The sequence below is a fragment of the Homo sapiens genome, chromosome 13 (assembly GCF_000001405.40).
Source record: "Homo sapiens chromosome 13, GRCh38.p14 Primary Assembly".
In the NCBI taxonomy this organism is placed as follows: domain Eukaryota; kingdom Metazoa; phylum Chordata; class Mammalia; order Primates; family Hominidae; genus Homo; species Homo sapiens.
Genome location: NC_000013.11, coordinates 18,928,480 through 18,944,795, shown reverse-complemented (window position 1 = coordinate 18,944,795; position 16,316 = coordinate 18,928,480).

Below are 16,316 nucleotides of genomic sequence, written 5' to 3'. Positions count from 1 at the left end.
CGTTGAGGCACGCCGGGGAAACAAGCGGCAAGGCCTAGAAGGAGGCTGTGGTCATCACGAGTTGGCCAGTGCCATCGTGGGAGCCCCTGTGCCACTGGAGAGGCATCGTGGAGTCCCCAGCTTGCACCCAGGGTGGGGTCTCCGACACGGAGGGCACCCCAATGGGGCAAGAAGTCCCCCGGGGCATGGGGACAAACACCAAGCTTGCAGAGTGACGTTGAGACAGCCCGGGGACAAAAGGGGTAAGGATGAGGAGGCTGGGGTCCTCTGAGGCCAGTGCCTCCCGGCAGCACCTGCACGCGGGGGTCATGGAGTCCGTGGCTTGCACCCAGGGTCTCCCTCACGGGGGGCACCCCAAAGTAGCAAGAAGTTCCCCGGGGCACTGGGACAGGAAACAAGGCTTGCATGGGGACGTTGAGGCAGGCCAGGGAAAAAAGCGGGGAGGCCGAGGAGGAGGCTGGCGTCTTCCCGCGGAGGCCAGTGCCTTCCCGGCTGCCCCTGCGCCGGGCCCGGGGGTTCGTGGAGTCCCTGGCTTGCACCAAGGGTGCGTGTCTACACCACCGTGGGCACCGCAAAGCGGCAAGAAGTGCCCCGGGACACGGGGACAGGACGCCAGGCTTGCAGGGGAACGTTGAGGCAATGCGGTGAAAAAAGTGGTGAGTCCGAGGAGGAGTCTGGGGTCGTCCCGCGGAGGCTAGTGCCTTCCCGGCAGTCCCTTCCCCGGCCCGTGAAGGTCCTGGAGTCCCTGGCTTGCACTCAAGAGTGCGCGTCTCCCCCACAGGGGACACCCCAAAGCGGCAAGAAGTCCCCCGGGGCAGGGGAATAGGATGCCAGGCTTGCAGGCGGATGTTGATGCAGCAGGTGGAAAAAAGCGGCGAGGCCCAGGAGGAGGAAGGGGTCATCCCGCGGACGCCATTGCTTTTCCGGCAGCTCCTGCGCCCGGCCCGGCGTGTCCTGGAGTCGCTGGCTAGCACCCAGGGTGCGTGTCTCCCACATGGGCGGCACCCCAAAGTGGCAAGAAGTCCCCTGGGTCACGGGTACAGGACGCCAGGCTTGCAGGGGGAGGTTGAGGTAGCCGGGGGAAAAAGCGGTGAGGCCGAGGAGGCTGGGATCATCCCTCAGAGGCCAGTGCCTTCCCTGCAGCCCCTGCGTGGGGCCCAGGGGGTCGTGGAGTCCCCGGCTTCACCCTGTGTCTCCCCCCACCGGGGGCCCTCCAAAGCGGCAAGAAGTCCCCCGGGTCACGGGGACGGGATGCCAGGCTTGCGGGGGTATGTTGAGGCAGCCCAGGGAAAACAACAGCGAGGCCGAGGAGGCGGCTGTGGTGGTTCCACAGATGGTAGTGCCTTCCCGGAAGCCCCTGCGCAGGGCCGGGAGGGTTGTGGAGTCCCTGACTTGCACCCAGGGTGCGTGTCTCCCCCACGGGCGGCACCCCAAAGCGGCAAGAAGTTCCCCATGGGACAGGGACAGGACGCCAGGCTTGCAGGGGGACGTTGGGGCATCTGGGGAAAAAAGCGGAGAGGCCCCAGGAGGAGGCTGGGGTTCTCCCGCAGAGGCCAATGCCTTTCCGGCAACCCCTAAGAAACGATGATTCAGGCAGACTTTACAAGGCAATGACCCCTTTGCTTTCAATGTATAATAGCACGTCCCTAAAACTGAAAGAAAAGGATTACTGATGGCTACACAATTTAGTCACAATCACAGTCATGTGACTTGCTTTAATGACATTCAATGCCTTTTTAAAAAAGATACCTGTCATTAACTGCTTCTGCGTTATGATTGCTAGGGTAAGTTTCTTTAAATACACTGTTTTATTCTAATAAATTTTCAGGTGTACGATAAAAACCCTGATGTCATAGTAAATGAATATTTCCTGGGGAATAAGTTGTCCGTGTCTTTGCGACGAATGCATGCTTTCACAGAAAACTTCCCCCAGTGGGATTCTGGCATCTGGGATAGTTTATTTCACTTAATAGGAACGTGCAGTTTACTGTCCTGGAGGAGTTTATGCAACATTTGATCAACTGTTATACTATTTCTTAAGATGAAATAAATACATGTAAGATTTCATAGATGATCTCTCTGTGTAAATATAAATTCTCGATATTTACTGGCTATTTCAAAGTGTGGTAGAAAAAGCAGCCACTGTGATTGTAAGGGCAGATGCACTTACAATAAAGAGGGGATTGTACTGAATATGGAGGAGCTGAACTGATGATTTAAAATTTATCAGAATATGATAGGAGTCCTCTTTAACCACTCTGAGCTATTTGTAATAAACTCGAGTAATTTTTGTCTTCAAAAATTAAAGTTATGTTTCATCATGTTGCTCTAATTCTTGGCAAATCCTCAATTGTTTTGCTCTGCAAAGTGTTTAATGTTCATGTTGACATTCTCCACAACGTTAGTAGTAATGACTTAGAACCTAGACTTATTAAAGAGATTACATTTTTACTTTTACATTTTTACAGAAACTTAATTTTTGGGTTCTAAAATGATGTCTCTGTCCAAGTTTGCAACACTGACACTTTTACCTTAATGTTACCCATGGAAAAAAATCAATCAGCTGAATTAGATTTATTTTTACAGGAAAAAAATGTGTAATTAAATTCATGAAACCCCACTATTATAAGAAACAATATATCATATCTATATCTCTCTGTATAGATATGCCCTTTACAAGCAAAGTGGATAATAGACTGTTTATTCACAAAACATTTCATATCTTTGCATCATATCACATGCAATATGGTGAAATAAGAATAGTTTTAACCTTAGGATCAAATATTTGGTTCAAATCTCAACTTTACCACTTACAAACTTTGTAAACTTGGGTTTTATTTATGTGTTTATTTATTTATTTTACCATTTGAAGCATCAGATTATATAACAAAATTAATAGTAATTCATAATGTACATAATGGTTTGTAGATTACAGAACAGCAGTAAAAAAAAAGTCTCACACAATGATTGGAGCATAACAGAGATTGAATAACTCATTTCTCCTTGTCTTCCCTTCCTCCACAAGGGATTAGCTTACATGTTTTCCATTGTGAATACCTGATAAATATGTTTTTACTTGGTTTACTAAACAGTTAAATACACACAGATTGACCAATTTCCTTCAAAAAAGTTGTAAAGGTATTTTCACAGATTAAATTTAGAAAAATGTTACCTTAATTTTTTAAATCATCTTCTGACATTTAGTCAATAATTCCTGTGTATTGTCAGGAATTTAATGAAATAATATATTTCACATAGTGCATTGAATGAAATACATATGTAATTATTCAACTACATGTTACTTATTGATACATACTACATTTTGTAAATTAAACAAAAGTTTACCTGAGAGCAAAAAACTATAAACAAGAATTCTTATTACAACATTTTTATTAGTAATAAAAACTTAAAATAATCCAAATAAATGTACAAAAACAATCACAGAGAAATATTATTTTTCCCCTTATTACTAAGCAGAGAAAAAATTCTAACAAATTTTAGATAGTATGTAGAGAATAGAATCCATTATTATTGCATTTTTGTAAATAGTAAAAAATGAAAATATATATAGATATTATGTGTAGAAAAAGGAAGAAAGGGAACTGAAAACAGTTATTGGAAGGGGAAGGTGATTATGTGGGTCTTTCTCTTCCTGCATTATGTAGTTCTCTAATGCTTAAACTTTGTAATATATTTTATATTAGAGTACATATTAATATTATCCTTTGGAAATAATATAACTTTCTGACTAAAAATGAAGAAAATAATTTGAGAGCTTGTCTCTTAAGGCAAATGACTAAGGTGATTTAACTATATATGTCTCAGTTTTCTCATCTAACAATTCTCATCTAACAAACATCTAATCTACTTTATAGAATTGTGGAAATAACTTGAAATAATGCGAGAGAGACCACTCTGCAATATATAGTGCCATCTCATAATTCGAAATCCAAAAATGGATTTGCTTCGAACTGTTGATAAGATTACCTTGCCCACCTCTAATTCAAGGTGGAAGACAGTGCAGTAAATGGCTCTTACATAGATAAAACACTGCCTGCCTTAGCAGCTAGGTTTAACTCCTTCAGAGACAGGCTATTGTCATCAGTTAGTGTTGAAAAACTAATCTCACACTTTCAAAAGAAAAGCTCAATTACCATGTTGCAGCAAACCTAAAGAATAGTCATATGCAACAGTGGCCATCAGATTGTTTATTAAAATGATTTATGATTCATATGTAAGACACTTCTAAATATTCATATTGATGTCCTAGAAGTACTGATGCAAGACAGACTGAGCCCACAGTTATAAAGTTATCATAAAGTTATCTAGAAAAACATAGCAAAGGACTGCAAATGACTTTGTAAAAGTAGGTTAGCTCATTTACAAAGAGTGTTCTTTTCCAGTTTTTTAGCAATGAAAATGAAAAAGACAGCATGGCAGCTTCCTTAGCAGCTTTTGACAGATTGAGGCAGTTAGAACCTCACAAATAAGGACAGCATTAGTTGTGCTAACATTTGCTGCCCTTCACCCAAGAAAATTTCCATAATTATTATCATGTATTTACATCACCAAATTAAGTTCAGTACTTGCATTGTGGCTTAAAATGCATACTGATTGTGATTTGATTATTCATTAGCATACCAAATATAGAAAATCTGGGCTATGGAAATGTTGGAAGCTACATTTCACTGTCCTCAAACTAGATTGTTTGTAAAAAACCTGCTCATCATGGCCTCTTATGTGTACATTTCTCAGATTTGCCTCTCCTTCAATTAAAATCCAGGATTAGAGAATAAGATGCTCCACATTTCATTTCAATAAGCAGAGCTAAAACTTTCATATGTATCATAATTTGTCTATCCTCGAAGTAAATCTCAATTATAATTAGAAAATCAAATGCAACTTTCTTAATAGAAGAGTGAAATTTGACATTTTTCTAACCCTAGTAATATTTAGATTCACAGTATCTTATAATTTAGTTCCTTGGGGTTTTTTCTTTATACTGAAAATGGTAGGTGTTAAAAAATATTTTGGAAAACTTTGAGAATAAAGAAAAACCTAGAATTTAATTAAGATGAAATTATAGTGTTTTAACTAAATTTAATTTAGCAAATAACACTTTGAATGTCAATGATGTGTCATCAACATAGGAAATCACACAAATTAAACAGAGATTGCATAAGAGAGACAATCCTTGACTCCAGGGAGCTTATTATTCAGTAGGGAAGTACCATGCAAAAGTATTGTAAAACAAATATTTACACATCATTGAGCACTTATAATTTTTTTTTTTTTTTTTTTTTTGAGACAGAGTCTCACTTTGTCACTCAGGCTGGAGTGCAGTGGCACGATCTCGGCTCACTGCAACCTTCACCTCCCAGGTTCAAGCAATTATCCTCCTCAGCCTCCTGAGTAGCAGGAATTACAGACACACATCACCACGCCTGGCTAATTTTTGCATTTTTAGTAGAGATGAGGCTTCACCATGTTGGTCAGGCTGGTCTTGAACCCCTGACCTTGTGATCTGCCCGCCTTGGCCTCCCGAAGTGCTGGGATTACAGCCGTGAGCCACCATGCCTGGCTGAGCACTTATAATTTTAAATGCAGTACTTTACCACAATCTCTAAAATACCAATGCTAGTCATGGTAAGGAAAATTTTTTTTTTTTTTAATGTAGAAAGGCAGTCTCACTATGTTGGCCACTGGTCTCACTTGGCCTCAAGCAATCTTCCCACCTCAGCCTGCCAAAGTGCTGGGATTACAGGCATGATGCTTACTACATGTTAGTCATCATCCAAGGCACCCCAAACATTATCTTATTTAACCTGTCCACACACAGAAAACAGATTTAAATCTTTACATAAACTAGAAAATAATTTGTCTAGATGTAAGATTCTGTTGAGCACAGAAATCTCATGAAATTATCAATAATATATACAAGACAATATAGGATACATTTGCGAGAGAATTCAAGCAAAGGATCTAAGTGGCAAAATGGAAGGCAGCTTTATCTGTTTGCTCACTGATTTATACCAAGTTCCTAGAACTATTTCTCATAAATAAAATATGCTCAATAAATATGTGTGAAATTGAATTAAATTTCAGGGAAATAAGTTTGCAGTCACTGGGTGTAGAGATTAGGATGGGAGTTAGATAAGGAGTCAAAAAACGCTATCTGAAGGCAGTTTTAAAGCTCTCACTGGCATTTGAACTTTCGTTAAGGTCCTTCCAGTCAAATCTTCTTCCCACTGCAGCTTGTCTGATTGCAAAATGATCGTTGAAGCCCTTTTGAACACTCTTCATGTTAGAGTATCTCCAAAATTACTTTCTAAATGTAATACTTAGATTAGCATGGTCAGATGCAAAGTAAGAGCATGTCACCTATGAGAAAATACAACATTTCAGTGTCTGTGAACTTGGAGGGTTATATGGTTATGCTTATGGCTGATAAAAATTAAATTACTGGAGTCATGGAGGTGGAAAAACTGTGAAGTGATTGAATTGTACCGTATAGTCATAAACTTTGCAGAAGGCAAGGCAGAGGGTGAAAATGTAGACCAGGTGCTGAAATCACTGAGGAAAAAGGAAGAATGTCTGGGGGAGCTCAGTAAATGACTGTATTAACGGACAGAAAGCAAATTCTGTCAAGATAAACTGAAGAAGAGGATGAAATAACTGCATCTGGCCACTTGCAGTGAGCAAAGAATGTGCAAAAGCTTTCTTTCTGTTACTATGAATTCCTGGGGAGCACATTATCAACCAGACATAGTGTTTTGGGGAAAGGCAAAAAAAAAAGTGATATTCTAGGAAAAGTCTAAGAATAAAACCCTACAGGATTTATTTACTGATTAAGTGCCCACGCTATTCTGGTCTCTTTGCTAGGCACTTTGGATGTAGAATTGTTTTTATTCTCAAAATAACAAGCATTTCAAAGGGAAGTTAATATGTGAATAACGGGACACACACAAATCAGGTGATTTTGATGAGAGCAGGACTGAGGTAATTCTGATCCAGCACAGGGGCAATATTGAGGAAGGAACAACAGGCAAAGGCAGGCGGACAAAACAAGAGGTTTAGGAAGTTACGAGGATATGGGATGGACATGTAACAATAGAAAAATAAAGTATAGAATTTAAAATAATATATTTAAAAAACTGACGAGCCTGGGCAAAATAGACCGCATTTCTACAAAAAAAAAAAAAAAAAATAGCCAATCTCGGCAGCTCATACCTATAATCACAGCTACTCGAGAGGATAAGGTGGAGGATCACTTGAGCCCAGCAGTTAGAGGTTACAGTGAGCTAGGATCACACCACTGCACTCCAGCCTGGGCTACAGAGCAAAACACTGTCTCTAACGAAAAGGAAAAAAAGAAAAGTAAAGATTAGTCCACCGAATTTTAATATTTGGATTGCTACTACTTATAATCATAAAATTATTAGCTACCAAATAGTTTTAAAGACCACTGGTGTCAACCATAACTTAATATGATTTTATGAAAGTCACCCCAGAACAATGTAATATTTTTGTGATAATGATGGTTAAAAAAAAGGCAAGACTTTTAATAGATCTGGATCCTAGTAAGTCCTCTGATACAGACTCACATGACATTTTTCATGAAGAAATTTGGAATATTTTGTAAGGTCAATGTATAACTGGTGTAAAGGTCATACCCATAGGTGATGATCAATGATTATGGGACAAACTAGGGTTGCATATTGAGAGCTGTCCCACTGGGGTCAGTTCTCAGGCCCACTATTGTCATAAACTTTATCAATGGCTTGGAAGATAATCTCATCCACCAGCTTAATGAGAACATTATCTGTCCAATCTTGGAAGGCTGCCAACACTGCAAAGCACAAGAATAGAATCCAAGTGTCCCTGATTAATTTTTTTCCATCAAAAGTGTGACATAAACCATAGGGACACACCCTCTATATTTAAAGGCTGCACACTATTTGATTATAAGCATAAACACACCAGCATAGCCCTAGACCATAACTAAAGACAAAGGAATTCCTTTATTGACCATTGTGAATTCCAATAGTATTCAGTTTATTGAGTATCACAAGGCCTTCTATGTCCTAATTGGAGCATTGTTTTCTTTTTTTCAATTTAAAAAAGGATACCACACACAGAAATACCCAACAAATGTTAATTGATAGAATATAAAAATAAATTAATATAATTTATTTAATTACTAATTTAATTTTACATACCATAAATTAATTTTATTCCAAAAAAATGTTTTACATTCTCTTGCTCCACGTTTTATAGATAGTAAACATTCAAGAAATATTTGTTAAATAAATTGATAATCTGAAAAGGAAACTTGAGAAGCAACAGATAATTTAAGAAAAATTTATTTATTTATATTAATTTATATTTACCATTCATTTAACTGGCATCTATTGTGCTTTTAGTATTTGTCAGATATGTGTTAGGCAATGGGAATACAGTAATGAATGAGTCATTGAGGCTGCTCAGAGGAGCAAACAGCCTCGTTCTAAAAAAAAGAAAAATAAAAGCAATGAGTACTATGATACGTGACAAATACTAGAAAATACATGACAGGTCATTATGGACAGTAGAGAGAGGCTGTCTAAATTGAGACACGATGGTGATCTGAATAAGAAAAAATTTAATGTTTGAACTGAAGTTTTAAGGATGAGCATGCCTTAACTATGGTGTGTGGGTGTGTGTGTGTGTGTGTGTGTGTGTGTGTGTGTGTGTGTGTGTGTGTGTGTGTTATAGGAAAAAAAACTACAGCTGACCTTCAGTGTTCATGGGTGATTGATTCCAGGACCCTCATCAGATAACAAGACTGGCAAATGTCCAAACATCTTATATAAAATGCTGCAATATTTGCATATAACCTATGAGTATGCTCCCGTATACTTTAAATTATCTCTAGATTACTTATAATGCCTAAATACGGAGCCTACACGTCATTTAATTATCATGGATTCAACAGAATTCAGTGCATGGAAAATTCAAGTTTTGCTTTTTGAAATGCGGCAGCTTAAATAAAATCAAATGGAACTGAAGCTAAGCATCATAGTTTCTGTCAGTGTTTTAACATTAGAACAGAATGTTCACAAAATATTGATATTCCTGAAAGTTATTAAAAATAGAATTTTAAAAATTGATCTTTCCCATTTTATATAGGAAACTAAAGTTTAAGAGCTAGAATTGCTGTCTAAAGTCCTCTCTTGCTTTGAAATGAAATATGTTGCTTGGATTATGAGTGAGAAAACACATTTATTGAGCATTTATCTCATGTCTGACGTGAATATACACTTTTCACCTAGGATACTTCTTATAGCTTTCACATATTATCACTGGTTTAATCCAGTGAAAGGTTATTTCTTTTACATGGCCATGCAAGTTACTAGAAGACTTTACTCACTGTATCTATTTGAAGATCCATGTGGAAAAAAGCTTTCAAGGTCATAACTAACAAGACAACATGGAGAATTGAGTCCCAGTTTGTCACACTTCACAAATCACTGCTGCTTACATTTAGAAGCAAGTCCCAAGGCTAAACCTGTTGTCAAAACAACAACAACAACAATGCGACCGTGTGTCAAGAAGTGAAAAATAAGAGACACTATAGAAGAGGTGCTGCACTGCCCAAGTGTACAGAAACGTGGGCAGGGAAGTATCACTATGAGCAGCGGGCTTCCTCTTGAATTGGTGCCTTCTATGAGCATCTACTCTGCTTATGTCTTGGCCACATTGTCACTTAGCACAGCTTTCATTGCTGCCTCTTGCGTTCTTTGTGGACCTTAGGGAATCACTAAAGGAATGAAGACAAAGAGGTGGAGGTGAGACAAGACAAAGAGGAAGACAACAGGAGGGGGCCTCTGATCAGCCTGCCTTTTTATGTTGATGATTGCTTCTTATTAATAAAACTGTGTGAGACATTGGAGCTGAAGAAAGGATAAAATTGGATCCCTCCCTGGTGTTTAAATTGCTCTTCACACAGCCCCATGGAGGTTATCTCATAGCATAATAAACACTACCTCGTAGGAACAGGGAAGTAAGTTTTAACTGGCTGGCCGCAGTGGCTCACGCCTGTAATCCCAGCACTTTGGAAGGCCAAGGCGGGTGTATCTCCTGAGGTCAGGAATTGGAGACCAGCATGGCCAACATGGTGAAACCCCGTCTCTACTAAAAATACAAAAATTAGCCAGGTGTGGTAGCAGGCACCTGTAATCCCAGCTACTTGGGAGGCTGGGACGGGAATCCCTTGAACCCGGGAGGCAGAGGTTACAGTAAGCCGAGATCGTGCCACTCCACCCCAGCCTGGGCGACAGAATGAGACTCTGTCCATCTCAAAAAAAAAAATAATAAATAATTTGTAACTGACCAAGTGAAAAATAAACATAATGATCTCCATTTAGTTAAATTGTTAATAGATGAATAAACAATTCAACCTGAGACTATCAACTCACAAAACAAGCAAGTTTGCAATTAACACATCACATCTGTTCCTGACTCTTAAAACTTAAATTTCAAATTTACAGAGGATTGGATGATGACCTTGTTAGGAATTAAACTGAGCAAGCTGTTGTTAGGAAACAGAGAGCAATTCTTGCCAAAAATCTAATTTATTTCTCTCCTCATATGCTTAAGTCAACTCAAATAGCGTTTATCAGCAGCATCAGCGTTATAGTTTTGTTAAATGAATCTAATCATAGAATTAAAACTTTAAAATGTAATTGCTCTATACTATATATTAACTAGAAATAAGCTTATATATGTATTGTAATATGCAAATATATATGAAAATATGTTGTTAATTGCATTTATTCAAATACATTTATGTATAGATATTCTTGGAAAAATTATATACTTAAACATACATTTTAGAAACATATTAATATTTTTCTACATTTCCATTTATTTCCAATAATAAGGAAGCCAGTGTCCCTGGTCTGCTGTTCAAATTCAAGACAGAATCATCTTTGATAACATATATTGGAATCGATTTCTTGATCTAGGAATATACATGACCCATTATTTCTAACATCATACAATATTTTGAGAGACAGCAGCTGCTAAATAAAATTATCACACGATAGCCTGCAAAAACATCATCAATGCAATTATTTCTCCCTTCCACCCACAGTCTCTTTAAAAAGCTGACAGTGCAGCCTTCAGTCTGTGGTTGAAGGTCCAAGAGTCCCAAAGCCGAATAACTTGGAGTCCGATATCCGAGGACAGGAAGGATCCAGCAGGGAGAAAGATGGAGGCTGGGAAACTAAGCCAGTCTAGTTTCTCCAGGTTCTTCTGTCTGCTTTTATTCTGGCCACACTGGCAGCTGATTAGGTGATGCCCACCCAGATTGAGGGTGCATCTGCCTTCCCCAGTCCACTGACTAAAATGTTAATCTCCTTTGGCAACACCCTCACAGACACACCCAGGAACAATACTTCATATCCTTCAATCCAATCAAATTGACACTCAATGTTAATCATCATAGGTGGTAATGGACAATAGAAGTGATCTAGCTGGTATCTGCGGCTGCTACAGTAAGATCTAATCGCATGGGATACTGCATTTCAAGGCAGCGTACTTTTATGAATAGCACCGTTAATGTTAAGTATTTGGAAAGATTCATTGACATTTCTGGGACTCTTGCTATTACATTCACTCCCCACAGCTTCCTCCCAGGCTTTCTCTGAGGTTCTCGCTCTTTCTCTCTCCCCACCTACTTAGTTCTTCCTCTCCTTCTAGGAGCTGGCCTTCCTCTGCTCCACCCCCGTATCGCTAGGTACCAAATTGGGGCACTCTTTCTATACAAGTGTAGTTTTTAACCTATATCAGTGTCCCTTTCATTACTAATCTGTGTGTTTCGCTTAAATAGGAAGATTTATTAGAGTCTTAGAGAGCTGGGAGAATCTCCAAGAAGGACAGCAACAACAGAAGTTAAGAAAAAGCTCAGTCATATTTAGTTATCTTTAAATGAAAGCCCCAACCTATTTTTTATAGTTCTAAGCACTAAGGATTTTAATAATTATATGCTAGGACTTCCACTAGACCTGAAAACAAGACCTGAATACCCACTGAAACGGTGCTGCCTGCTTTCTAAAGAAGCCAACACTCCTCAATATAGTTGCTTCCTCTGATTGCTCGCTTCCTTCCTCTGATTCGATGTAGTTATAACTACTTAGAGGAACCACAGCTGTATGGGAGTCCATCTGCAAAGGAATCTGAAAATGGTAATTATCTATGTATGTATGTATGTATGTATGTGTTCATCTATGTATCTATTAATAATTTGTTCATTTGTTTTTAGTTTACCACATTTTTATTAAATAAAATTGTATTAGAAAGTGATTGAAATGAATATTGACTCAATTCATAGTACTCTCAAAACATCTCATTCTAATTTGTTTGAAGTGATTATTTAATCCTGAAAAATCTTTGAAAAAATTTTATGAATACATATTTAAATTATTTCCCACAGCAAAAATAACCAAATAATTTGATGAATCATGATATCTACAACATTAAACATCTCATTTAGTAGCCCTAGATAATATTTAACACATTTTATACATATATTAGTTGCCTTCAGATAGTTCTACAAACATAATATAGTTTGTTAATACCTAGCATTATATGGAATAACAAAATGCATTTTATTTGTTCTGCTAACAGTTGCCTAAATAGAGGTTTAACATTTGGTGCAAGGGATGAATTTACTAAATCACCCTTCTGGGAGAGGTGGCCCAGAAGATGCATAAAGTTTGTTTGCCTTCATGCAAAGTTATGTTCTTTCTGGACTTTCAGAGTGTAGAAGTAGCAAAAGTTAAAAATAGCATTCACAAAGAGTGGAGAAAAAAGACCACAAATGTAAAAAATATCAGTGTAATTCTCTTTAATGCAGAATTAAAGATAATGACGTTAACTAAAGAGACTTGGCCTGAAACTTATTCAGATAAAACAAAATTCCAAAAGAGTATTACATGGGCCCTAAAGTAATTTATTTATTTCTTAATGGTGTGTAAAATGTCTTACAATTGTTTTTCATCAGTGCTTTTCTTTTACTATCCTCAGAACATATGGGATTAAAATTAGGTAATTTAGAATTGCAATGGACATATTTACCATGGTATTCACTTTGTTTTTTCCCATCCAAACTAAAATGAAAACATTCCAGGTCATTTTATTTTCAGAATAAAACCTCAAAACAGCAGAGTTCTAACAAAAGATTGAAATAGTTGCTCAATTATCAAACAAATGATAGCTGCAAGTTTTTACTAAAAAATGAATATCATAATAACCTCCAAAAATAAAGAATGAGGATGCTATAGGTAATCATTTCAATCAAGAATGCAGGTGTCAGATTCCCAGGTGATGGGGGTTAGGCACTGTGGTATAAACCTGGCTATGGCCAAATGGAGACAATAGGTACTGGGTTTTGTCTTTTTGGTTTATTTTTTGTCTTTTATATGATTGAAGAAAATATTATGTATCCAAGAAAATATATGTTTTCAATTTCTTTCTGCCAAAGGTTTCTTCAGCCCAGTCTTTGATTCATTATAATATTTTCTCTACTGATATCTCAAAAATAATATAACATTATTTTATTTTGCAGTGTGGAAATCCAAAATCCAATTATAATTTTGTGTTCTTGGAAATGTGCTGTGTTTCAATACCAAATATTTTATGCTTGTTTAAAAGAATAATAAAAGGAGGAGTAAAACAAGAGAAGAAAAAGACCATAAAGGAACAGAAGGAGGACAGTAGTCGTCATATGAGTGGTAAATCAGAAGGGAGGTCTTCACTTCTCTCTTTCTCCTTGTCTCAATCTGTACATCCATCTGGATTTGTATTGATCTTTATGTTCTATCCTCTTTCATTTCCAGGGATGTGTCACATTTTTCCCAAATCTAATGTTCAGTCTTTCACAGGAAAAAATGGGGAGGCATGTTTTCCCATCTCTTCCATTATCATGGATTTTGCTTCATAGATCATCCACTACCCTATCTGGGATGCCAAATTTCCCACTCTATTTCTTTCCTGTCCAAAGTAAGCATCTCTACATTTCCATGAGCTCAGAAAACAAATGAACACACATAACAATTTTTATTTAATCTTTATACATACCTGCAACCTACTGCAGCTACACCATTGTTCTCCTTCACACCAATGTTCCAAATTGTATTTTCCTCTTCCCATTTCACATTTCTATTCCCACTGTCTTAAAACTCATGGTAGTATGGCTTCCAATTCAACTATTCAAGTGAAAAGTGCTGTTAGGAAATTTCCAGTGTCCTCTAGTTTGCTAAATCTCAGGAACAAATTCAAGTGGGAGTCTTCTCTTTATGGTATATACTACTGTTAGATTGCTTCACATTTTCACTCTCAAAATGCAGTCATCCATAGCTCCTGTGACACTAGTGTCTCAAGATTTTTTTTTACATTTCTGAGCATTCTTTCTCAATTACTTTTGTAGACTCTTCTTCATGTCATTCTTCCATACATCATTTACAGTTAGTGTCACATAGCATTCTCTTCTGAGCTCAATTTTCTTCTTACTCTCCAAACTCTCCTTAAGTGATCTTATGCATATTCATGGGCTAATAGCCAGTAAATGTGTATCTACAGATCACACATCTCCTTTTTGAGTTTAAGACCAGTATATGTATATACATATATGCATTGTGTAGCTCTAATTGAATTTCTTAAAGACAGCTCGCCATGAGGATATCCAAAACTGAACTCATCACTGCTTTTATTGTAACACTCATTACCAGTCACCAATCTCTATTCTCTGTATTGAGTTACCAAACAATTCATTCAGTATTTCAATCACTATAAACCATGCTACTTATACATACAGTCAGTCTTATATGCGCTCTGTTTCCAAAAGCTCTCTATCATGCCTATCACCATTTCCTTACCTCAGGCTGTCCACATTTCATGCCCAAATTACCACAGCAGCCATCAATTAAATATTCGTGCCTCCAGGCCTACATTGTCTTCTCGTTTCTTAAATGGTACTCTTCTTAAAATGTGATATTGACTTTTAATCACTAAGTCTTTATTTTTAACTACTAATTACTCTCTGGAAATCAGGAGAAAATATTAAATTGAGCAAGAAGAACAGGAACAAGAAAAATGGTTGAGAAGAATCGTTCAGGTCAGGGCCGAAGTAAACAGCCCATGTTAATAAGTGCTTAATATATAATGTGCCAGATGTTTTAAGCCTATTTTCACATTTTAATCCTTATAATGTCCCTATGAGCAAGGCAGTATAATTTCCTAAATGTGGTGGTTAATATTGAGTATGAACTTGATCATATTGAAGAATGAAAATTATTGTTCCTGGGTGTGTCTGTGAAGGTGTTGCCAAGGGAGATTAATGTTTGAGTCAATGGGCTAGGAGAGGCAGATCCACCCTTAATCTGGGTGGGCAACACCTACTCAGCTTCCAGTGCAGCTAGGATAAAAATAGGCAGAGGAACATGGAAAGATTAGACTGCCTGAGATTTCTGGCCTCCACCTTTCTCTCGTGCTGGATACCTCCTGCCCTTGGACATCAGACTCCAAGTTCTTCAGGTTTTGGACTCTTGGACTTACTCCAGTGCTTTGTCAGGGGCCTTTGGCCACAGACTGAAGATTGCACTGTTGGCTTCCCTACTTTGGAGGTTTTGGGACACGGTCTGGCTTCCTTGCTCCTCAGCTTACAGACAGCCTTTTGTGGGACTTCACCTTGTGATCATATGAGTCAGTATTCCTTAATAAACTCCCTTTCATATCTACATCTATCCTCTTAGTCCTGTTGCCCTAGAGAAACCTGACTAATACACCAGATTTTTACCTATAAGAAAACTGAGGTATGGAGACACCGAGTACCTGGAGAGAGAGATTCAATTCCAGGAAGTCTGAGTCCAGGACTCAGGCTCCTGTGACTAAAGGCAATTATTGAAGCCACCACTTTTTGTTTTCTTGGTGGAATATAAGACATCAAAACCATGACCTTGCCTTGAAAGACAACTGTTTACAAGTAGAGAGAGAGAAGCAGTCAAAGAGGTAGAGAAATTAGAATAAAACATTCAATAAATCAAAAAGGAAAAAATTTCTTTAGAAAAGGAGGTCATCCACAGTGTTAAGAATCCTAGGATGGTAAATAGAGACAAGCCGTTTTTTTTTTTTTATTATACTTTAAGTTCTAGGGTACATGTGCACAACATGCAGGTTTATTACATATGTATACATGTGCCATGTTGGTGTGCTGCACCCATTAACTCGTCACTTACATTGGGTATATCTCCTAATGCTATCCCTCCCCGCTCCCC